The sequence below is a fragment of the Homo sapiens genome, chromosome 1 (assembly GCF_000001405.40).
Source record: "Homo sapiens chromosome 1, GRCh38.p14 Primary Assembly".
NCBI classification, from domain to species: Eukaryota; Metazoa; Chordata; class Mammalia; order Primates; family Hominidae; genus Homo; species Homo sapiens.
This window is the reverse complement of record NC_000001.11, coordinates 151,254,355-151,279,263: the sequence shown is the minus strand read 5'-3', so window position 1 is coordinate 151,279,263 and position 24,909 is coordinate 151,254,355. Positions and strand designations below refer to the sequence as shown.

The 24,909-nt window shown below is 47.3% G+C and overlaps 1 protein-coding gene across 2 annotated transcripts, besides 4 other annotated features; it reads right to left on the bottom strand.

Annotated features, from left to right (window-relative positions):
• Positions 11,785 to 24,530, bottom strand: PSMD4 (proteasome 26S subunit ubiquitin receptor, non-ATPase 4). Of its 2 annotated transcripts, none has more exons than NM_002810.4 (10): positions 24,456 to 24,530; positions 16,963 to 17,103; positions 15,236 to 15,350; positions 14,346 to 14,432; positions 14,030 to 14,098; positions 13,655 to 13,870; positions 13,152 to 13,260; positions 12,825 to 12,956; positions 12,677 to 12,744; positions 11,785 to 12,091 (listed from the first exon to the last, which is right to left on the bottom strand). In NM_002810.4, the coding sequence occupies exons 1-10, from the start codon at positions 24,479 to 24,481 to the stop codon at positions 11,921 to 11,923; spliced, it is 1,134 nt and encodes a 377-aa protein (NP_002801.1). In that variant the 5' UTR covers positions 24,482 to 24,530; the 3' UTR covers positions 11,785 to 11,920. The 2 variants fall into 2 exon arrangements, with proteins under 2 accessions (NP_002801.1, NP_001317621.1); NM_001330692.2 differs by having other exon boundaries at positions 11,804 to 12,091; positions 13,143 to 13,260.
• Positions 13,437 to 13,731: a silencer, noted in NCBI's record as "tiled region #10214; K562 Repressive non-DNase unmatched - State 17:Gen3'". NCBI's record gives its function as "represses a minimal TATA promoter and a strong SV40 promoter by Sharpr-MPRA in K562 cells {active_cell/tissue: K562}" and the evidence as "EXISTENCE:reporter gene assay evidence [ECO:0000049][PMID:27701403]".
• Positions 13,437 to 13,731: an enhancer, noted in NCBI's record as "tiled region #10214; HepG2 Activating DNase matched - State 5:Enh". NCBI's record gives its function as "activates a minimal TATA promoter and a strong SV40 promoter by Sharpr-MPRA in HepG2 cells {active_cell/tissue: HepG2}" and the evidence as "EXISTENCE:reporter gene assay evidence [ECO:0000049][PMID:27701403]".
• Positions 24,269 to 24,408: a silencer, noted in NCBI's record as "silent region_1316". NCBI's record gives its function as "represses an Ori minimal core promoter by ATAC-STARR-seq in GM12878 lymphoblastoid cells {active_cell/tissue: GM12878}" and the evidence as "EXISTENCE:reporter gene assay evidence [ECO:0000049][PMID:35858748]".
• Positions 24,449 to 24,638: an enhancer, noted in NCBI's record as "active region_1714". NCBI's record gives its function as "activates an Ori minimal core promoter by ATAC-STARR-seq in GM12878 lymphoblastoid cells {active_cell/tissue: GM12878}" and the evidence as "EXISTENCE:reporter gene assay evidence [ECO:0000049][PMID:35858748]".

The window sequence follows — 24,909 nt, the reverse complement described above, 5'->3', positions numbered from 1 at the left end:
ATGCATATGACTAAGTGAAAGAAGCCAATCTGAAAAGGTTGCATGCTGTATGATTCCAGCTATGTGACATTCTAGAAAAGGCAAAACTATAGAGAGTAAAAAGATCAGTGGTTGGTTGCTGAGGGTTCAGGTGGAGGGAGAGAGATGAATAAATAAATGGAGCACAGGGGACTCTTACAACACTGAAACTATTCTATGTGATACTGTAATAGTGGATACATGTGTCAACAGCCATGGAATGTACAACACAAAGAGTGAACCCTGTGAGCATGGTGGCTCACACATGTAATCCCTGAACTTTGGGAGGCCAAAGCGGGAGGATCAACAAAAAATTTGAAAAATTAGCCGCGTACAGTGGCGCACACCTGTAGTCCCAACTACTCAAGTGGCTGAAGCAGGAGAGTCCCTTGAGCCCAGAAGTTTGAGGCTGCAGTGAGCTACGATCCTGCTGCCGCACTCCAGCCTGGGCAACAAAGTGAGACCCTGTCTCTTAATAATAATGTTTCCATATTGGTTCATCAATTGTAACAAATGTACCACACTAATGCGAGATATTAATAAATAATAGAGTAACCTGAGCAACATGGAGAGACCCCATCTCTACAAAAAAACTTTTTTTTAAGTAGCGTGGCATGGTGGTGCACACCTGTGGTCCCAGCTACTTGGGAGGCTGAGGAGGGAGAATCACCTGAGCCCTGGAGGTCAAGGTTGCAGTGAGCTGTAATCACACCACTACACCCCAGCCTGGGCAAAAGACCAAGACCTTGTCTCAAAATAATAATAATAATAGGGGAAACTGGAGAGAGAGGATGTGTGGGAACTCGCATTTTGTGCTCAATTTTTCTGTAAACCTAAAAATGCTGTAAAAAATAAAGTGTATTAATTTAAAAACAAAAACAATTTAAAAAAAAAAACAAAGCAGGCGGCTGGGCGCAGTGGCTCATGCCTGTAATCCCAGCACTTTGGGAGGCCGAGGCGGGTGGACCATGAGGTCAGGAGATCAAGACCATTCTGGCTAACATGGTGAAACCCTGTCTCTACTAAAAATACAAAAAATTAGCTGGTCATGGTGGCACACGCCTATAGTCCCAGCTACTTGGGAGGCTGAGGCAGGAGAATCGCTTGAACCCGGGAGGCAGAAGTTGCATTGAGCCGAGATCGCACCACCACACTCCAGCCTGGGTGACAGAGCAAGACTCTGTCTCAAAAAAACAAAAACAAAAGCAAGGAAAGATGACAGTAAGTGTGGGAGGGTTGCAATTTTAGGTAGGGTGGACAGTAAAGGCCTTTTCGAGAAGATGGTGGTTAAGTAAAGGTCTGAAAGAGATGAGGGAGTGAGCCATGCAGCTATCTGGGACAAGAACATTCCAGGAGGAAAGAACAAGTACAAGGTCCTCAGGAGGGGAGTGTGTTCCAGAGGGGGTGGGAGGAGTGAATTGGGTCATGGGATGCTTTGGAAGCTATGGGAAGGTCTTTGGCATTTTCTCACGGTGGGTTAGAAAGCCATCAAAAGGAGACAGATGACATGGTGGCCTGACTTAAACGTTTTAAAAGGGTTGAAAGTGGGGTGTGGAAGAAAGAAAAAGACTCCAAAGCATGGAGGCTGAGGAAGTAGAAGCATGATGTTGCCCCATTTCTTGAGCTGAGAAGACTACAGGAGATGCAGGTTTTAGGGGTTAGGTCGGTAGCTCAGTTTTAGTCATGTTGAGGTATTACACATCCAAGTGGAGATACAAATGTAGGTGTCATCAGCTTATAGATAGTATTTAAAACCCAGGTCAGAATGGATGAGATCACCAAGGGAGGATTGAGGCATGGGAAACTCCGAAGTTAAAAGGTCAAGGAGATGAGAAGAACAGCAAAGAGGAAGGAAGGAACCAGGAGAGTGTTGTAACCTTCAAGCTAAATTTAAAAAGTATCTCAAGAAAGAGGAAGAGAGAATGATAGTCAGATGCCACTAAAATATCAAATAGGATGAAACCTGAGAATTGACCAATGGATTAAGGCAAAATGGAGGTCACTGGTGATCATGATGAGGAGAGAGTTGATGGACTGGTGGGGACAAAAGCCTTCATGGAATGGGTTTACAAGAATGGAGGAGGAAAAAAGAAAAGTCACTATAAAACTCTTTCAAAGGAAGGAAGGAGAAAAAAGATGGTAACTAGAGGAAAAAGAGTGACCAAGAGGACTATTTCTTTTAATGGTTACATTTTTTTCTCATCAGGTTCTACTGACCCAAGGAAAGGACTGTTTGAAGATGAAGAAGTTGTATGTCAGTACACGGGTGGGGAGGATCCTGTAGACAGGAAAAACCGAAGTTGTAGCAGAGCGATAGGGAAAGTTTCTGGAGTCATGTTCTTCAGAAGGTGAGCGAGAGGGTCAAGTTCACAAACAGAGGAATTGCCTTACACAGGGGCAGGGACAGTTCCCGAATAATAATTGGGAGAGAAGGCAGAGTGAGCGGGCATGGGTCGAGGGAGCTGGGGAGCTGTGGGATATCTCTTTGTTGCTTCTGTTGTCCAGTGGTATAAGAAACAAGAACATGTGTTGTCAAACTCTTCGTGGGAATAAAAAATCAAGATCACTCTCTAAGAGTGAGGATGAAGAAGAAACTAGGAATTTGAGGAGCAAAAAGATAGGAAATAGGCATTCAGGAGAGAGGAATGGACTAGGAGGGGAGATCAAGAGACTGAGAGGCCAGTGGCCTGGAAGATTCATTTACCTGGATATTTAAATCAGCAGGAATGGGCCGGGTGCAGTGGCTCACTCCTGTAATCCCAGCATTTTGGGAGGCCAAGGCTGGTGGATCACCTGAGATCAGGAGTTCAAGACCAGCCTGACCAACATGGAGAAATTCTGTCTCTACTAAAAATACCAAAATTAGCCAGGCTTAGTGGTGCATGCCTGTAATCCCAGCTACTCGGGAGGCTGAGGTAGGAGAATCGCTTGAACCCGGGAGGCAGAGGTTGTGGTGAGCCAAGATTGTGCCATTGCACTGCAGCCTGGGCAACAAGAGTGACACTCCGATTCAAAAAAAAAAAAAAAAAAGAAAAAATTCTTGAACTTCACATAGAGAGTAGGATTCTATTTATGTATATATATACTATAAATATATAGTATGATTCCATTTATATAAAGTTCAAGCTGGGCGTGGTGGCTCACACCTGTAATCCCAGCACTTTGGGAGGCTGAGACAGGTGGATCACGAGGTCAGAAGTTCAAGACCAGCCTGGCCAAGATCCTGAAACAAAACAAAAATTAGCCAGGCGTGGTGGCACGCACCTGTAATCTCAGCTACTTGGGAGGCTGAGGCAGGAGAATCGCTTGAATCCAGGTGGCAGAAGTTGCAGTGAGCCGAGATCATGCCACTGCACTCCAGCCTGGGCGACAGAGCAAGACTCTGTCTCAAAAAAATAAAATAAAATAAAAATAAATAATAAATAAAGTTCAAGAGCAGGCAAAGTAAATCAATGGTGATAGTAGCAGAATTGTGGTAACCATTGCCTAGGAAAGAGTAAGAGGAATGTGTGTGTGTGCATATATATATATATATATATATATATATAGATAGATAGATAGATAGATATATGCACACACACTCACACACACTTTTTTTTTTTTTTTCTAAACAAGGTCTTGCTCTGTCACCCAGGCTGGAGTACAGTGGTGCAATCACGGCTCACTGCAGCCTCAACTTCCTGGGCTCAAGCGATCCACCCACCTCAGCCTCCCAAGTAGCTGGGGCTACAGATGTGAGCCACTGCGCCTGGCTAGTAGGAGGAATCTTTGGAGATGCACACACAGACACACATACCCCCAGATTAATGGCGCGGCACCTTCTGTTAATAGCACCCACCACCTCTCCTTGTTGCAGCCATCTTCTGCCTCACCCCACTCTGTCCTATACTACTCCTATCCTCATTCTTGATTATTATTATAATTTTTTTTTGAGACTGAGTCTCGCTCTGTCACCCAGGCTGGAGTGCAATGGCACAGTCTCAGCTCACTGCAACCTCCACCTCTCAGGTTCAAGCGATTCTCCTGCCTCAGCCTCCCGAGTAGCTGGGATTACAGGTGCCCACTACCACACCCGGCTAATTTTTTATGTGTGTTTTTAGTAGAGACGGAGTTTACCATACTGGCCAGGCTGGTCTCGAACTCCTGACCTCGTGATCTGCCTACCTCGGCCACCCAAAGTGCCGGGATTACAGGCGTGAGCCACCATGCCTGGCTTTTTTTTTTTGAGAGAGGGTCTCACTCTGCTACCCAGGCTGGAGCGCAGTGGTACAATCTCGGCTTACTGCAGCCTTGAGCTCCTGGGCTCATGTGATCCTCCCACTTCAGCCTCCCGAATAGCTGGGACTACAGGCATGCACCACCACGCCCAGCTAATTTTTTTATTATTGGTAGAGATGAGCCACCACATCTACCCTATTTTTATATTTATTTATTTATTTATTTATTTAGCGATGGAGTTTCACTCTTGTTGCCCACGTTGGAGTGCAATGGTGTGATCTCAGCTCAGTGCAACCTCCGCTTCCCAGGTTCAAGCAATTCTCCTGCCTCAGCCTCCCCAGTAGCTGGGATTACAGGCGCCCGCCACCACGCCTGGCTAATTTTTATATGTTTAGTAGAGACAGTTTCACCATGTTGGCCAGGCTGGTCTCAAACTCCTGACCTCAGATGATCTGCCCGCCTCGGCCTCCCAAAGTGTTGGGATTACAGGCATGAGCCACCGCACGCGGCCTGTTGCTCTTCTTTCACCCTCCCTTCCCTTCCTGCCTCTGGCTTCTCCAGAGTTGGGATGGTGCGAGGAAGGAAAGGAGTCAAGTTTTACATGACAGGGGCTGTCAGAGCCCTCTGTGTGACAGGTTCCTAAATGCTCGCTTTCTCTTGGGTGGAGCATATTTGAAGGTCCCTGGGAGACTTACAGGACCTCTCCACTGCCCTTTTCTCTGGCATCTGCAGTGCACTCTCCAGGTGACCTCTTGCACAGTGCCCTGCACTTTTGCCCCATGGCATCTTACCATTGGGCTCTTCTTGCCCTTCAGGAACTCCTTTTGGGCAGGCTCTATCTGGATGGCTCAAGCTTGGGTACTTTCCATGCTTTCCTCTTGGTCCGTGGGAAACTCCCACATTCTTAGCATGCCAGGTGCTGAAATAAAGTCTACCCACTAGTGCCACCATTCCAGGTCTGGGCTCCAGCCAACCTCCCACATGTCCCATTCAGCAGACATTGGTCTCTATGTTCATTTATATCTCCCAAATACCAGTAAATTCATGTCAGGCTCTTCCAGAACTCTCTCTCAGTGACTTGCTTGTGGTCTTTGACAACACTGGGTCAGGAGTTCTGCCACCCAGGAAACATCCAGCCAAGGACTCAGATGCCCATCTGTTTCTTACAGGCACTCCCAGTCTCTTGGTACTGTCCTACCTTGGTCTGCGTCCTCCCCTCGCCCCTAAAGAACAAGAAACAGGGAATACCAAAGGACTCCAGAGAGATCAGCAATCAACAACAGATCTATCTCCATGAGCGTGCTCTCTTTCCTGTGTCAAATGTGTCATCTCATAGAGGCTGCAGGTGGCAGTGGGGGCCATGGGAGCTGGAGGAATTGTGCTGTCTTTTGCGTGGCTGGAAAAGTATTTTTCTACAATGTGGGGGTACCTGTGTACACTTCTGTCCTTAAGACTCAGCTCAAACTCCAACACAACCAGGAAAACCTTTCAACATCTTGTTACACACAGCCACCTTTAATTTTTTTCTTTTTTTTTTTTAAACTTTTATTATCATTCAAATGATTTGGGCAATTTCATCATATACTACATCCTTTCCAAGGCATGTAACCTGATCATGAAATAGAAAATTAATGCTTCAATAACAATAATTTATACAGAAAATTTTCCTGAAAATAACATGTAGACTATTTTCCTTGGCCTTTGTATTCAAACAAAGATGAAAGAACTAAGCTGTTAAAAAGCTAAGCTGGGCTGGGCGCAGTGGCTCACGTCTGTAATCCTAGCACTTTGGGAGGCCAAGGCGGGCGGATCACGAGGTCAGGAGATGGAGATCATCCTGGCTAACACAGTGAAACCCTGTCTCTACTAAAAATACAAAAAATTAGCCAGGCGTGGTGGCGGCCACCTGTAGTCCCAGCTACTCGGGAGGCTGAGGCAGGAGAATGGCATTGTGTCCGGAATTGGTGGGTTCTTGGTCTCACTGACTTCAAGAATGAAGCCGCAGACCTTCGCGGTGAGTGTTACAGTTCTTAAAGTCAGCGTGTCCAGAGTTTGTTCCTTCTGATGTTCGGATGTGTTTGGAGTTTCTTCCTTCTGGTGGGTTCGTGGTCTTGGGGGCTCAGGAGTGAGGCCACGGACCTTCGCGGTGAGTGTTACAGCTCTTAAGGCGGCGCATCTGGAGTTGTTCGTTCCTCCCGGTGGGTTCGTGGTCTCGCTGGCTTCAGGAGTGAAGCTGCAGACCTTCGTGGTGAGTGTTACACCTCATAAAGGCAGTGTGGACCCAAAGAGTGAGCAGCAGCAAGATTTATTGCAAAGAGCGAAAGAACAAAGCTTCTACAGTAGGGGACCCAAGCGGGTTGCCCGCCACCTTTAATTTTCACGACCACCTTGTGAGTTAGAGGAATTAGGTAATTGATCTTAAAGAAGTAAAGAGCTTCTGGTTATATGTGGTGAATTGAGCTTATCTCTGCTCACCCTAGAAATCACGTCAAAATAAGAGTAAAGAAGTGAAAAAGGGCAGGCATGGTGGCACGTGCCTGTAGTCCCAGCTACTGGGGAGGCTAAGGTAGGAGGATCACCTGAGCCTGGGAGGCCAAGACTGCAGTGAGCCATGATGGCCCAACTGCGCTGCAGCCTGGGCAAAAAAGTGACCCTGTCTGAAAAATAAAAAATAGCCGGGCGCGGTGGCTCATGCCTGTAATCCCAGCACTTTGGGAGGCCGAGGCGGGTGGATCATGAGGTCAGGAGATCGAGACCATCCTGGCTAACACAGTGAAACCCCGTCTCTACTAAAAATACAAAAAATTAGCCAGGCGTGGTGGCAGGCGCCTGTAGTCCCAGCTACTCAAGAGGCTGAGGCAGGAGAATAGCGTGAACCCGGGAGGCGGAGCTTGCAGTGAGCCGAGATCGTACCACTGCACTCCAGCCTGGGTGACAGAGCGAGACTCCGTCTCAAAAATAAATAAATAAACAAATAAATAAATAAATAATAAGACATGAAAAAGCACAAGGACAAAGAGAAGACTACAGCAAATGAGAGACTGATTTAGTTTGATACAGATGTGCAGATAACTGACACAGGATTTCTGCACAGGATGTGCAGAAAGCCAGATGTGCAGGATAACTGACTTAAGTTTGGGGATTTTTCCATTCTACTCATAATGTAGGGAGTGAAGAGCCAACAAAGAACAAAATAATCAGTCTTAGATCCCAAAAAGGCTCAAAAACAGAAAAGTCCTTGGGCCTCTGAAAGCAGGGGAAGGAAGATTGGAAAATTCCTTGTTGGAGATAATGACTGACTCAGGAGAAGAAGCCAACAGGAACTCAAATGCTGCTCCCTCCCTCCTTACTCCCAGGGAGGCCCACATATGACGGTCTCTGCTCACCCCACCCATGGAGTTTCCAGGCAGCTCTCTCTTAAGTGGGGACAGACAGCCAAGGATCATCTGAGAGTTGAAGGCAGCCTCCAACATAAAAGAAGCCAAAAGAGGAGGAGCCCAGAGAGTAACAGATAATGAAGGGACCGGAAGAAAATATCCTAAAACTGCAATGACTATACTTAGAAATATAAGATTGGCTGGGCGTGGTGGTTCACACCTGTAATCCCAGCACTTTGGGAGGTTGAGGCAGGTAGATCATGAGGACAGGAGTTCAAGACCAACTTGGCCAAGATGGTGAAACCCTGTCTATACTAAAAATACAAAAATTAGCTGGGCGTGGTGGCACATGCCTGTAGTCCCAGCTACTCGGGAGGCTGAGGCAGGAGAATTGCTTGAACCCCGGAGGCAGAGGTTGCAGTAAGCTGAGATCATGCCACTGCACTCCAGCCTGGGTGACAGAAAAAGACTCTGTATCAAAAAAAAAAAAAAAAAAAAAGAAAAGAAATAGAAGATATTGCACCCATGATACAAAAACAGGATGCTTTTTTTGTTTGTTTTTTGGGACAGTCTTGCTCTGTTGCCCAGGCTAGAGTACAGTAACGTGATCACTGCTCATTGCAGCCTGGACCCCTTAGCTCAAGTGATACTCCCACCTCAGCCTCATGAGTAGCTAGAACTATAGGTGCACTGCACCACAGCCAGCTAACTTTTTTTGTTTTTTTGTTTTTAATTAAGAAAATGTGGGGGAATGGGGTCTTGCCATGTTCCCCAGACTGGTCTTGAACTCCTGGGCTCAAGTTATCCTCCCGCCTTGGCCTCCCAAAGTGCTGGGATTACAAGCATGAGCTATCACACCCAGCCCTGGTTTCTTAATAATACACCCTGAAAACTAGAATACAGGCCATGGGCAAGGTGGCTCATGCCTGTAATCTCAGCACTTTGGGAGGCCGAGGTGGGCAGATCACTTAGGGTCAGGAGTTCCAGACCAGCCTGGGCAACGTGGTGAAACACCATCTCTACAAAAAATACAAAAACCACCATCTCTACAAAAAATACAAAAACCAGATGGGTGTTGTGGCATGCACCTGTAGTCCTAGACAGTTGAGATAGTGAGGCAAGAGGACTGCTTGAGCCTCAGAGGTAGCGGCGGCAGTCAGCCTGAGCCGTGTTCCTGCCACTGCATTGCAGCCTGGGTGACAAAGTGAGACCCTGTCTCAACACCAACAAGCATTCCTCTGGATGCTGAAACATTGAGAAAAAGAAAAAACAAACAAGAAGAAAACTGAAAACAATGAGGCAATGCCTTCAAAATTCTAAAGAAACATTATTTTAAATGTAGAATTCTATACTCTGCCAAGATGTTTTCAGACACACAAAAAATAAACTTGCTGTGCTCCTTTCTCAGAAAGCTACTGGATGACAAATTCTACTAAAACAGAGGATGAAACAAAGGAAAACCAAAATATGGCATCCAGGAAATAAGTGAGTCCCAGGGTGAAGGTGCAGGGAAGGGCCAGAACTAAAACTTTGCAGCAGGTCGAGGACAACCAATCCACATTGGAGCAAGCTCAGGAGGCCATCACGTGAGGTTAACAGGTTACCTACTGTATTTGACCAATGAGAGGAGGTTTCTATTTCTCATGGTAAAAGAATAAAAACAAAAACAATGGGCCGGGCGTGGTGGCTCAAGCCTGTAATCCCAGCACTTTGGGAGGTGGTGGCTCAAGCCTGTAATCCCAGCACTTTGGGAGGCCGAGGCGGGCGGATCACAAGGTCAGATCCAGACCATCCTGGCTAACACGGTGAAACCCCATCTCTACTAAAAATCCAAAAAATTAGCCGGGCGTGGTGGCGGGCGCCTGTAGTCCCAGCTACTCGGGAGGCTGAGGCAGGAGAATGGCGTGAACCCGGGAGGCGGAGCTTGCAGTGAGCCAAGATCATGCCACTGCACTCCAGCCTGGGTGACAGAGCAAGACTCCGTCTCAAAAAAAAAAAAAAAAAAAAAAATGCTAGGTGTGGTGGTTCAGGCCTATAATTCCAGCACTTTGGGAGGCTGAGGTGGGCAGATTGCTTGAGCTCACGACCAGTCTAGGTAACCTGGCGAAACCCCGTCTCTACAAAAAAAATATAAAAATTAGTCAGGCGTTGTAATCCCAGCACTTCAGGAGGCCGAGGCAGGTAGATCACGAGGTCAGGAGTTCAAGACCAGCCTGGCCAAGATGATGAAACCGTCTCTACCAAAAATAAAAAAATTAGACGGGTGTGGTGGCACATGCCTGTAATCCCAGCTACTTGGGAGGCTAAGGCAGGAGAATCGCTTGAACCCAGGAGGCGGAGGTTGCAGTGAGCAGAGATCGTGCCATTGCACTCTAGCCTGGGCAACAAGAGCGAAACTCTGCCTCGAAAACAAAAAAAAAACTAAATTATAATATTCTATAGTAAACAGTATAGATAATGGCTAAAATGGAAAAATTAAGAAATAGCCATATAAGTTCATTCTTTGGGAATAAGGAAGTAAGCACAGGAAGAGCTAGCTAAAGAAGTTAAATTGATTACTTCTGGGAGTAGACCTCAAGAGTGCAGAGGGGTAGGGCAGGACCCTACCAATTTTTATTACAAATCTAACTTTTAAAACTATATAGGCCAGGCACGGTGGCTCACACCTATAATCCCAGCACTTTGGGAGGCCGAGGTGGGAGGATCACTTGAGCCCAGGAGTTCAAGACCAGCCTGGGAAACATAGACCGCATATCTATAAAAAAAATTAAAAATTAGCCAGGCATGGTGGTACATACCTATAGTCCCAGCTACTTGCGAGGCTGAGGCATGAGAACTGCTTGAGCCTGGGGGGCAGAGGTTGCAGTGAGCCAAGACAGTGCCACTGCACTCCAGCCTGTGCGACAGACTCCATCTCAAAAAAAAAAAAAAAAAATTAGCTGGGCGTGGTAGTGTGTGCCTTAGTCCCAGCTATGCAGGAGGCTGAGGCAGGAGGATCCTTTAGGCTAGGAGGTTGAGGCTACAGTGAGCTATGATCACACCACTGCACCCCAGCCTGGGTGACAGAGCACAGACTTTGTTTAAAATAAATAAAAATATATATATATATTTTTTAATTTTTTATTTTTTGAGAGTCTCCCTCTGTCGCCCAGGCTGGAATGCAGTGGCATGATCTCAGCTCACTGCAACCTCCGCCTCCTGGGTTCAAGCAATTCTCCTGCCTCAGCCTCCTGAGTAGCTGGAATTACAGGCGTGTGCCACCACACCCGGCTAATTTTTTTTCTATTTTTAGTAGAGACGGGGTTTCACCATATTGGTCAGGCTGGTCTCAAACTCCTGACCTTGTGATCTGCCCACCTCGGCCTCCCAAAGTGCTGGGATTACAGGTGTGAGCCACCGCACCTGGCTGAAAAAAAAAAAAACTTTAAAAAAAATTATAAAGGGAATAGATGTTCCTTGTAAAATAATATTTAAACCGTATAATATAAAGTCTCAAGGTAAGGTTACTTGTAGAGTGGATTTTATGCATGTACACTGAGAGGAAAACGCCAGCAGGGTGTTTAGGACAGCAGAGACTCAGGAGACAGCATAACTGATGCAGGGAGGTGCTGGCAGGAGGGAGGGAGCCAGAACTTCCTGCCTCACGGCCTTGACTCTCTGTAAAGATGTCAGGCTTCTGTTGAGAGTGATCGGGGAGTAGAGGAAGGTATAGTAGTTGCTACAAGGAACTGACTTGCAGGGCTGAGCAGAGTCACTGAAGGCAGCTGACCAATGGGAAACTACTGTTTGGTGGTGATTCAACTCCTGGCGAGACAGGTCTGAGACAAGTTTGGATTTTGATCCTGGTTCTGCCTCTTCATTAGCTAAATATCCTTGGCCAAATAACCTAAACTTGCTGAACCTCAGAAGTCCACATGAAAAAACTGAAAAGGTTGAGTATCATTCCATGCTTGGGGTTCAGCTGTGTGAGTGCAGAGTAAAAGTTATTGGCAAGAAGGTGGTTTAAATAAGGTCTTCGTTCATTAGAAATGGAAACCTGGCTCCTGGGCCTGTAATCCCAGCACGTTAGGAGGCCCAGACAGGTGGAAACAGAGACATAGAGAACTCAACAAGGAAGGTTCTCCTTCAGGCCAGGGACTCCTCCCCTCTCTCACACTCAAAACCATCAATATTTGAAGCAAAAAAGGAAAAAAAGTTGCCAAGCTTTATTTAGGCTGTAATGGTTACAGATAACACACATCTAACCCTATATTCCGTGCTTCCCATGCAGTCCCCTAAGCAGACTCAGCTACCCTTTCCCTCCAGTCTCACTTCTTGTCTTCCTCCTTCTTGTCCTTCTTGCCGTCCTTGGTGGCCTGGGAGGCCAGGGAGCCCATAGCATTTCGAATGGCTTCATTGTTGGGATCCACACCTGGGAGGTTCTCTAGGACACTCTGAAGGAACTCGGGGTCCTGCATCACGTCGTAATCATCCTCCTCCTGCAAACAGGCAGTGTGAGCTCAAGGGAGGGTATGGAGCGGCAGGAAGTAAGCAGGTGTTAAGGACAGGAGCATGCCGCTGCCAGAGGCCCCCTGCCTTCTGACTGTGTGGGGATCTGGGCACCTCTGGTCGACGTAAGGAAAGGACAAGTCAGCAAAATCCTTTATACAGCATGAATGCAGTTATTACTAACCAAATAGAGGGGCCTGCTGAGAACTCTGTTAATTGAGCTCTGAGGAGAAAAACAGATGCCATCACATTGAGGTTTCCTGCTCTCAAGACACCCAGTTCTCCTTTTTCTTTTTCCCAGACCCGCTTTTTTCCCTCCTGGGAAGACATCCTAGAGAACTGCCCAGGCTGCTCCCACCAGCAAGAAAGGAAAATTACAGAACAAGAGGACATTTCTCCAACTCTGACCATTAGCATTGCTACCTTAGCAAGGTTTACATGTAAGAAATGCAAATCCATGTGTTTCCCTCTGCTCCTCAAAGGACTTAGCTATGGTAGAAATACTCCCAGCCCCAGAGGGATGAGGATCTAAATTCAAGGACTTTAAACCTGATGGGGGCAGGGTTGGGTCTCACCTTGGCTGGCTCAGATGTGTCCATAGCTGAGCTGGCATCAATGTCTGCTGATTCCGCCTGGCCAAACTCTGAGGAAGAGAGGTCAGTCTGTTCAGTTACACTTCCTCACCCCAACCTCTGCCTAGGCACCACCCAGGCTCTGGCTCACCTGCTCCCTGCAGGGACATCTGCATGGCATAAGCAATCTGCTCTTCCTCAGTCATACTGCTTAGGTCAGGAAGCCCAGTGCGGCCAAACTCTTGCTGGCTGATGGTCATCTTCAGCAGGGCATCGTCTGAGTCTGGGAAAAGGAAAAGAGGAGCAGGGTAGAATTGGTGCCATATCCACACAGGCCAGCCTCCAAGGCCATTCCTAGCCCAGCCCTCCCACATATTCCTACCCTGTCAGACCTCCACACTCTCCCTGCAGTGCCTACACCCAGCTTTCAATGTTTAGCATCCCGCAGTCCCAGGACTTCGGATTCCACCTCTTTCACCTTCAGTCCCAGTCGTAGCAATCCCGGCCTCAGCAGCAGAAGCTGCAGCTGCCCGCCGGGCCTCCTCCTCCTGCCGCTGCCGCTGCTCTTCCATAGATACACGAAGGGCCTGGTGAAGGGCAGGGCATAATCAGGGCTCCCCTGCCCTCACTCCTACAGGGAGCTGGGAAAGTCAGTTGGGGTGTGGGAAAGGAACATAAAGGGGCAGCTTCTGGTTTATCACACAGAGAAGAAGCTGGAGGGATAAGCAGTGGTACGGGATTAAAAAGTAAGGACTTGGGAGAAGCCTCGGTTTTCATCAGAAGTGAACAAGAAAGCATCTGACACTGGTGCCCCTAGAGATCAGACAGCATTATAGGGAAGAGGCGGCAAAAGGAGGTCTTGGAAAATGAGTGATTGGTAGTGTCTAGGACTATCCAGCCTGATAGAAGCTCTGTGATGTGTGTGCCAGAAGAGAACAAAGAGGGACCTTTGGACTCTACCTGGGGTCAACATTTGCTCACCAAGGCCAGCTCAGGATCAGCACTGGGATCTACTCCAAATTCAAAGTCACTGGCACCAAGACCCAGCATGGCACCACCTTCACCAGCCAAAATCGGAGAACTGATGAGAGCATCAGCCAAACTGGGCCCAGGAGGCACTGTCACCAGATGAGAACCGGTTCCATCTTTGCCATTCAACGTGTTTACAAAGGCTGTCAGCTTTTCTGTGTTCACCTCCTGGGGAGGAAAGAACACATGATGCCCTTCTTCAGGCCTTGCTCCCTGTTCTTTCCCATTTCTGCACTACTCTGCCACAGTACCCGCACTCCTCAGGGTTAAGGACCATTCTGTTTATGACCAAATTAAGTCAATGCCCTCCAATCAGTCCCTACTCACCTCTTCCCCAAAATTGATAATGTCAACATTTACTTTCTCCTTCTTGAGGCGTTTAGCCAGTTTCACCAGCTGGGAAGAAGGGGAGAAAAATCAAGAAATCTGTTCCATACTCGAGGGGGGGAAAGGACCCGCCGCATAAAAGCATACAGAAATCTATTGACCTCCCCAAGGTCCTCCAACAGAATCACTGAATTCTCCACATTCACCTTTCCCCAAAGTGATGAGCCTGATGCCTCTGCCAGGTTCTCCTGAGGGCTGGAAGACCTCAGTCCCAAACATGGGCTCCCCACATTCCCCAGCTGCCACTTGGACTCACATCCTTCTCATTGTCCTCCACTGGGCTTCCCACAAAGGCAATGATGCGCATCTTGTGATTCTTGCCTTGTCGGTGCTTCAGAGCCAGCTTGTAAAGGGAGAGGAAGTTCTCAGAGTTAACCAGAGGAATCACTCAGCTCTTTCCTCTGTCACTCGGTTCCCTTTTTCTTACAGTTTCTTTGTACCTGAAGTACACCATCTACCATCACGTTCACACAAGATTTAACACCCCCACCTCCTCCCTTTTTGCTATGACTCTCTGTGCATAAAGAAGGGAGGTTAATTCTCTTTCTCTCTTTTTTTTTTTTTGAGATGGAGTCTCGCTCTGTCGCCCAGTCTGGAGTGCAGTGGCGTGATCTCAGTTCACTGCAACCTCCACCTCCCGGGTTCCAGCGATTATCCTGCCTCAGCCTTCCTAGTACTGGCTAATTTTTATATTTTCAGTAGAGATGGGGTTTCACCACGTTGGCCAGATTGGTCTCGAACTCGTGACGTCAGGTGATCTGCCCGTGTTAGCCTCCCAAAGTGCTGGGATTACAGGTGTGAGCCACCGCGCCCGGCCTTTTTTTTTTTTTTTTTAGAGAAACAGGGTCTCCCTATGTGCCCAGGCTGGTCTTGAACTGCTAGCCTTCAGCAATCCTCCTCCCCTGGCCTCCCAAAGTGATGGGATTACAGGCATGAACTACCACGCCCAGCCTTAATTCTCAATTCTAGGGATTTTTCCCTTCACAACCCTCAACTACCCTGGGATTCATCCCCCATATCCTTTCTACTCCAAGTTAGCTTTCTCTTGCTCTGGTCCTAGCTCAGGATTCCAGGGGAGAAATGAGTATGATGGAGGCAGGACCTCAGAGCAGGGAGGAAAGGTCCAGGGAACCCAGTAGGACTCACATGGGCCACGCGGATGCCCGTGCAGAAGGTGATCTTGCCCTTGGGTTGGACAGTATGTAGCTTGGACAGGATACGGCCAGTGTCTGGGGTGAGTGTGGTCAGCACTTCACAGTCACTGGGATGTAGGAAAAGCATTTCAGTGAATTCAGGTCAGCACAAGTACCTCTAAACTGTGTCTAACTTTTATTTATTTATTTTTTAGACGGAGTCTCACTCTGTCACCCAGGCTGGAGTGCGTGGCGTGATCTCGGGTCACTGCAAGCTCCGCCTCCCGGGTTCACGCCATTCTCCTGCCTCAGACTCCCAAGTAGCTGGGACTACGGGCACCCACTACCACGCCTGGCTAATTTTTTGTATTTTTTTTAGTAGAGACGGGGTTTCACTGTGTTAGCCAGGATGGTCTCGATCTCCTGACCTCGTAATCCGCCCACCTTGGCCTTCCAAAGTGCTGGGATTACAGGCGTGAGCCACCGCACCTGGCCTGTGTCTGACTTTTCTTTAAAGACCTGGATAATAACCATTATTTCTATTCTAATTGTAATCTCTATTCTTCTTTTTTATTTTTTGAGACAGAGTCTCGCTCTGTCACCCAGGCTGGCGTGCAGTGGCGAATCTCAGCTCACTGCAACCTCCGCCTCCCGGGTTCAAGTAATTCTCGTGCATCAGCCTCCTGAGTAGCTGGGATTACAGATCTACACCACCACGCCCGGCTAATTTTTGTATTTTTAGTAGAGACGGGGTTTTGCCATGTTGGTCAGGCTGGTCTCGAAATCCTGACCTCAAGTGATCCGTCTGCCTTGGCCTCCCAGAATGCAGGGATTACAGGCGTGAGCCACTGTGCTTGGCCTCTATTCTTCTCAATCAAACATCTAGTATTTAATGGAAACCAAGCACAGAAATAATTAAGTGGCTGGCTTTGTAAGAAAGCTGCCCTCTACTTCCAAATATTTTCCCCTAACTCCTTTTAAAGGCTCACAGGGCCCTGAGAATCCACCAAAATAACGATGCTAATTTGTATCTCTCCTGTCCTCTCCACCTCCAGACCCATTCTCCTAGCTAACAGTATGTACACTGGAGTGGGAGGCTACTCATTTAAGAATTATCAGTTCCTAAAACAAAACACTTTCAGGGTAAAAGGATGAGTGATATATGCCCAGGGGCTCTGATCCAAAAATTACTTTTTTCTTTTTTTTTGAAATGGAGTCTCATTCTGTCGCCCAAGCTGGTGTGCAGTGGTGTGATCTTGGCTCACTGCAACCTCCGCCTCCCGAGTTCAAGCGATTCTCCTGCCTCAGCCTCCTGAGTAGCTGGTATTACAGGTAGCCACCACCATGCCTGGCTAATTTTTGTATTTTTAGTAGAGACAGGGTTTTGTCCTGTTGCCCAGGCTGGTCTCAAACTCTTGGGATTACAGACATGAGCCACTGTGCCCAGCCCAAAATCACTTTTCACTGACTTTAAAATATATTATGAAATTTCACCCCCTACCCTAGCCCTGCCCAACAAACAATAAAAAGAAACAGAAATTTCACCCCAGGAGATTTAGCTTCCGTACTACATTAAATACAGGTTAATACAAAAAACAAGTTGCTATTGACATTTACACTAAATAGTGCAGAAGGCAGTCTAGGAAGGTGATGGGCAAAAGCAGCTTCATGGAATCTAAAGAAGAGTAGCATGTAACAACCACCCACCTACTGAGTCCCCTCCTCCTCTGTCCCCCATACTTAGCCAGTGTGATAAGGCCCACGTTGTTCTCAGGGTTGCTGCGGGTCTTTGAATGACAAACTATGTTGACAGCATCCTGCTGGGCCTGCAGCCTGGTGGGTAAGAAGTCTCCATTCCGCATATACTCACTGTTGTCCACACTGTCAGATTAGGGTTGAAGGACAAGAGAGAAGAAATGTAGAAGTTTTCCAAAACCTTCTCTCCAGTTCCAGAGGCCCCCTATAGCAGCAGTCTTCATAGCATCACCTGTAGCTTTTTTTCTTTTTTAAATATACAGATGATCAAGCCTTAGCCCACATTTATTGACTCAGAATAACCAATGAGGAATTTTTTTTTTTTTTTTTTTGAGATAGGGTCTTGCTCTGTCACTCAGGCTGGAGTAGAGTGGTGCACTAATGGCTCACTGCAGCTTCCACCTCCTGGGCTCAAGTGATCCTCTCACCTCAGCCTCCCAAGTAGCTGGGACTATAGGTGCAAGCCACCACGCAGCTACCTTTTAAATTTTTTTTGTAGAGACAGGGATCTAGCTATGTTGCCCAAGCTGGTCTTGAACTTCTGAGCTCAAGAGATCCTCCTGCCTCCACCTCCCCAAGTGCTGGGATAACAGGTGTGAGCCACCTGGTGCCCAGCCGAAAAAATTTTTAAATCCTTACAAAATGATTCTGATGAGCACCAAAGGTGGTGATCTACTGATGAACCACAGCAATTTCTTACAAGCTGCACTTAAGTGCTACTAAGCTTTGTCATGGATAAATACTCTAAGTCTGCCATTAAATGGCAGTAATCCAAATATAGGAAATGAAGAAGGTAACTTAAAAATATCTATAGCTGGGCGCGGTGGCTCATGTCTGTAATCCCAGCACTTTGGGAGGCCGAGGCAGGTGGATCACCTGAGGTCAGGAGTTCAAGACCAGCCTGACCAACATGGAGAAACCCTGTCTCTACTAAAAGTAGAAAATTAGCTGGGCGTGGTGGCACATGCCTGTAATCCCAGCTACTCGGGAGGCTGAGGCAGAAGAATCGCCTGAACCCAGGAGACGGAGGTTGTGGTGATCACACCATTGTACTCCAGCCTGGGCAACAAGAGCAAAACTTCGTCTCAAAAAAAAAAAAAAAAAAAGAAAAAGAAAAAAAAAATCTATAAAATAGGCTGGGCACAGTGACTTATGCCTCCCAAGTGCATCCCAGCACTTTGGGAGGTGGAGGCGGGTGTATCACCTGAAGTCAGGAGTTAGAGACCAGTGTTGGCTAACATTGTGAAACCCCGTCTCTACTAAAAATACAATAATTAGCCAGGTATGGTGGCGCACACTTGTAGTCCTAGCTACTCAGGAGGTTGAGGCAGGAGAATTGCTTGAACCCGGGAGGCCGAGGTTGCAGTGAGTCAAGATCACGCCACTGCACTCCAGCCTGGGTGACAGAGTGAGACTCCATCAAAAAAAAAAAAAAAAATCTATAAAATAGGGCCAGGCATGGTGGCTCACAACTGTAATCCCAGCACTTTGGGGGGCCGAGGTGGGCAGATCTCTTGAGCTCAGGAGTTTGAGACCAGCCTGGCAAACATGGTGAAACCCTATCTCTACTAAAAAATATAAAAGTTAGCCGGGCGTGGTGGCAGGCACCTGTAATCCCAGCTATTCGGGTGGCTGAGGCAGGAGAATCACCTGAACCTGAGAGGTGGAGGCTGCATTGAGCCAAGATCGTGCCACTGCCTCAAAAAAAAGAGGTCTATAAAATAACACACACTTGGCAGCACTGAGTGCAGAAAAGTACAATGCAATCATCTCATTAAATGCTTAACAGCTTTGACAGCTGAACTGAACGGTAAAAATGAGGTTTTGTGGATCTGAAGTCTCACCTCTTAGATCCCTGCAACTTTTCATGATCTAAAAGTATCCAGCTAATGTGAAATATAATCTCGAGTTTCCCAAAGACCAGAAGAAGGCAGGTAAGTGATGCAGTTATATAAGCTCCTGTAAGGATCAATTCTTGATGACCTCTGAGGTCCCTGAGAGCTCTAATAGTTAAGGTTCTACCTGTGCTAATGGACGGAAGCAGTGCCTTAGATGAGATACCTCATTTCTTTCTTTTTTTTTTTTTTGAGACAGAGTTTCGCTCTTGTTGCCCAGGCTGGAGTGCAATGGCTCGATCTCGGCTCACCGCAACCTCCGCCTACCAGGTTCAAGCAATTCTCCTCCCTCAGCCTCCTAAGTAGCTGGGATAACAGGCATGCAACCACCATACCCGGCTAATTTTGTATTTTTAGTAGAGACGGGGTTCCTCCATGTTGGTCAGGTTGGTCTCAAACTCCCAACCTCAGGTGATCCACCCACCTCAATCTACCAAAGTGCTGGGATTACAGGCATGAGCCACCACACTTGGCCCTCATTTCTTCTTTTTAGAATTTTATCTATTTTTTAGGCTGGGCATGGTGGCTCACGTCTGTAATCCCAGCACTTTGGGAGGCCGAGAAGGGAGAATCGCTTGAGCCCAGGAGTTGGAGAACAGCCTGGGCAACACAGGAAGACCCAGTCTCTACCAAAAAAAACCACATTTTTTATTTATTTTTTATTTTATAGAGATGGAGTCTCACTTTGTTGCCCAGGCTAGTCACAAACTCCTAGACTCATGTAGTCCTCCTGCCTTGGCCTCTCAAAGTGCTGGGATTACAGGTGTGAGCCACGGCACCTAGCCAAGACATCTCATTTCTATTGGCAAGCAAAATGTGAGCCTGGGGCAATTTTTTTTTCTTTAGTATGCTTTGTTTGGCAATAAACCAAAAATGGTAAAGAGAAGTAATTAAGAAGGTACTGGAAAACAAGTATTAACAGAAAAGGGAATATATAGGTTAAGTACACTTAATCAGAAACTCTTGAGATCCGAAATGCCCCAAATCAGAAAGTTTTTGAGTTTTGAGTGCTGACATGATGTTCAAAGGAAATTATCACTGGAGCACTTCAGACTTCCAGATTAGGGATACTCCGCTGGTTAAGTATAATGTACATATTCTAAAATCTGACAAAAATCCAAAATCTGAAACACTTATGGTCCTAGCCATTTCAGATAGGGAATACTCAACCTGTCTAGGGTAGTATTCAGGCACAGGTTCAAGCGCAGGCACAGGTTCAAGCGCAGTCACAGCTCACTGTAGCCTCAACCTCCCAGGCTCAATAGATCTTCCCACTTCAGCTTCCCGGGTAGCTGGGACCACAGGCGTGCACCACCATGCCAGCTAATTTTTGTATTTTTAGTAGAGACGGGGTTTCACTATGTTGGCCAGGTTGGTCTTGAGCTCCTGACCTCTGATGATCCGCCCACCTCAACCTCTCAAAGTGCTGGGATTACAGGTGTAAGCCACCGCACCTGGCCATTTCACATATTTTTTTGAGACAGGATCTTGCTCTGTCACCCAGGCTGGAGGCCAGTGGTGAAATCATAGCTCACTGTAACCTCAAACTCCTGGGCTTAACCCCTTCTCCTGCCTCAGCCTCCTAAGTAGCTGGGATTACCGCCAAAACCTTTATTTTAAAAGAGAATACAGGCTGGGTGTGATGGTTCATGCCTGTAATCCCAGCACTTAGGGAGTCCAAGGAGGGAGGCTCTCTTGAGCCCAAGAGTTCGAGACCAGCCTAATCAATATGACAAAACCCCATCTCTACAAAAAATACAAAAAATAGCTGGGCATGGTGGTAAGTGCCTGTAGTCCCAGCTATTCAGGAGGCTGAGGCAGGAGGATCACTTGAGCCCCGGAGGTCGAGGCTGCAGTGAGCCAAGATCACACTACTGCACTCCAGCCTGGGTGACAGAATGAGACCCTGTCTCCCCCAAAAAAAAAAAAAAAAAAAAAAACACTCGAAAAGGGTAATACAATGGCACATGTGCAAGGCAGTCACATCAACAGCAGGTTCCCCATGATGCACTACATGGGGCCAAGAACTATGTGCATACTGCCACAAAAAGAATAAAATACCTTGGCTGGGTGTTGTGGCTCATGCCTGTAATCTCAGCACTTTGGGAGGCTGAGGCTGGTGGATCACCTGAGGTCAAGTGTTCGAGACCAGCCTGACCAATATGATGAAACCTCATCTCTACTAAAAATACAGAAAAAAATTACCCGGGCATGGTGGCACGCACCTGTAATCCCAGCTACTCGGGAGGCTGAGACAGGAGAATCATTTGAACCCGGGAGGTGGAGGTTGCAGTGAGCCGAGATGGCGCCACTGCACTCCAGCCTGGGCAACAAAAGCGAGACTCCATCTCAAAAAAACAAACAAATAGACAAACAAACCTAGGAATACAACTAACCAGGGAGATGAAAGAGCTCTACAATGAGAATTACAAAATACCGCTCAAATAAATCAAAGAAGATATAAACAAGTGGAAAAACATCTCATGCTCATGAATAGGAAGAATCAATATCATTAAAATGGCCATACTGCCGAGCATGGTGGCTCACACCTGTAATTCCAGCACTTTGGGAGGCTGAGGTGGGCAGATCACTTGAGGCCAGGAGTTCAAGACCAGCCTGGCCACATGGCCAAACCCCATCTTTACTAAAAATACAAAAAAAAAAAAAAAAAAAAAAGAAAGCCAGGTATGGTGGCGGGTGCCTGGAATCCCAGCTACTCAGAAGGCTGAGGCACAATAATCACTTGAACCTGAGAGGCGGAGGTTGCAATGAGCCGAGATCACACCACTGCACTCCAGCCTGGGAGACAGAGCAAGACTCTGTCTCATAAATTAATTAATTAATTAATTAAAATTGGCCATTCTTCCCACAGCAATTTACAGATTCAATGCTACTCCTATCAAACTACCAAAAACATTCTTCAAAGAACTAGAAAAAACTATTTGAAAATTCATATGGAACCAACAAAGAGCCAGAAAAGCCAAGGCAATCCTAAGCTAAAAGAACAAAGCTGGAGGCAACTTTACCCAACTTCAAACTATTACTTAGGGCTACAATAACCAAAACCGCATGGCACTGGTACAAAAACAGGCACAGAGACCAATGGGACAGAATAGAGAGTCTAGAAATAAAGCCGCACACCTATGACCATCTATTCTTTGACAAAGCTGACAAAACAAGCAGTGAGGAAAAAGAGTCCCTATTCAATAACTGGGGATACTGGCTAGGCTAGCCATATGCAGAAGATTGAAGCTGGACTCCTTTCTTATACCATACACAAAAATTAACTGAAGATGGATTAAAGACAAGGTAAAACCCAAAACTATAAAAATCCTGGAAGACCGGCCGGGCACAGTGGCTCACGCCTATAATGCCAGCACTTTGGGAGGCTGAGGCGGGCGGATCACCTGAGGGTGGGAGTTCGAGACCAGCCTGACCAACATGGAGAAACCTGGTCTCTACTAAAAACACAAAATTAGCTGGGCGTGGTGGCGCATGCCTGTAATCCCAGCTACTAAGGAGGCTGAGGCAGGAGAATCGCTTGAACACGGGAGGCGGAGGTTGCGGTGAGCCGAAGGTTGCGGGGAGCTGAGATTGTGTCATTGCACTCCAGCCTGGGCAATAAGAGCGAAAAAAAAAAAAAGTGGGCAAAGGAGCCGGGCACAGTGGCTCAACGCCTGTAATCCCTGCACTTTGGGAGGCTGAGGCGGGTGGATCACCTGAGCTCAGCAGTTTGAGACTAGCCTGGCCAACATGATGAAACCCCGTCTCTACCAAAAATACAAAAAAGCTGGGCGTGGTGGCGGGCACCTGTAATCCCAGTTACTCAGGAGGCTGAGGCAGGAGAATCACTTGAACCAGGGAGGCGGAGGTTGCAGTGAGCTGAGATGGCGCCACTGTACTCCAACCTGGGCAACAAGAGCAAAACTCCTTCTCAAAGAGAAAAAAAAAAAAAAAAGTGGGCAAAGGACATGAACAGACATCAGACACTTTATTTTTATTTATTTATTTATTTATTTATTTATTTTATTATTATTTTTTTTTTTTTGAGAGGGAGTCTCACTCTGTCGCCCAGGCTAGAGTGCAGTGGCGCCATCTCGGCTCACTGCAACCTCCACCTCCGGGGTTCAAACGATTCTCCCACCTCAGCCTCTGGAGTAGCTGGGACTACAGGCGTCCACCACCACGCCTGGCTAATTTTTGTATTTTTAGTAGAGATGGGGTTTCACCATGTTGGCCAGGCTGGTCAGTAACTCCTGACCTCAGGTGATACACCCACTTCAGCCTTCCAAAGTGCTGGGATTACAGGCCTGAGCCACGCCCCAGCCAGACACTTTTCAAAAGACGATATACATACAGCCAACAAGCCTATTAAAAAAACCTCAATATCACTGATCATTAGAGAAATGCAAATAAATCAAAACCACAACGAGATACCACCTAACACCAGTCAGAATGGCTATTACTAAAAACTAAAAAAATAACAGATGCTGGCAAGGTTGCGAGAAAAGAGAACACTGTTCTATCGTTGGTGCAAGTGTAAATTAGTTCAATCACTGGGAATCACTTGAACCAGGGAGGCGGAGGCTGCAGTGAGCCAGACTGGGCCACTGCACTCCAGTCCGGGAGACAGAGCGAGACCGTCTCAAAAAAAAATTATTCATCGTTTATCTGAAACTCAAATTTCACTGGGCATCCTGTATGTTATCTGGCAATGCTATGCTCCCCCGAGAAAATAAAAAGAAGAAATCTCATAGGTGCCTGTTTCACCCAATCGGTGATTTGTGTTCGTCAACTATTCTGTATTACATTCAGTGATTACACTTAGAAGGAACTCTTGAAACCCTGCAAAAATTTATGTCCTCCTCTTCTAATGTGACTCGTAATAGGTACTCAGCCCAAGCCTGAAACTGACAAAGAGAGCTACCTCACCGGATAAAGCCTTTGTGTCAGACAGCCGTGGGTTTAAATCTTGACTCCACCACTTAACTAGCTGTATGATTTTGGACAAATCACTTAAAATCGCTGAGACTCGGTATCCTGAACCGTAAAATGGAGAGATAATTTACCTTAAGGTGTGGTTGTGAGGTATAAGTGAGATAAACAAAATGACTGATACATAAAAAGCAATCTGTAAATGGTACCTTTGAAGATGATACAGGGAAAGGTAATGAAGTTAGAGACGAGGGAATGGGGAGAGGAAGGGATTAATAATCTATTTTCCTAATAGACGTTATTTTGCAAAGAAAGGAGGGCAGAAAACTATTACGATGAGTCCGAAAAGCAGAACTGTAGCTAAAGACAGACCCGGGCTGCTCTAGAGAAGACGGCGCTAGAACAGAGAAAGGAAGCAGGAATGACCAGTCAATGACCGTCCCCCTGGGGGTAACAGTGGTAACCCGGGACTATCCGCCACTCCAGGGCCCCGGGATGACTCAGGGAGTCCAGCGGGCTCCTTACCTCCGGGGCCAGGGCCGCCTCTCGCCCATGAGCCCCTGGCCCCCACCCCAGGCCCTCCCTGCCTTGGCGCTACACGCGCCCGGAACCCAGCTCTGCCCCTCCTGCCCCGAAGTAGCTCCTCACCACACCATAGTGCTTTCCAACACCATCTTGCCACCTTCCTCCCTCCCGACCGGGTCTCCGGGACGGCCTAACAACAACTCCTCCAATTGGCCCGTCGCTCTTCACCAATCACAGACCTCGGCTTGGCCAGCTGCTTCCGCCTCCGTCCCCCACGTTGCGTTCTGGGAGTTGTAGGTGCCGCCAAACAAATTTGTAGGCGTCTTGAGGGTAGTTGAAGGGAATCGCGGTAACACAAAAAACAGGATCTAGCCTCCACTTTCCCTGCCATTGCAGTTCTCAGTTGGGGTTTCCCGCTGGCCGGATCTCAGGGGAGCTATGGAGGAACCTTTGAAAGTGCTGTGTCGATTCCGGCTTCGGCATTTTAAAAAAGTGTCGGGATCGGCCGAGCGCGGTGGCTCACGCCTGTTAGCCCAGCACTTTGGGAGGCCAAGGCGGGCGGATCACGAGGTCAGGA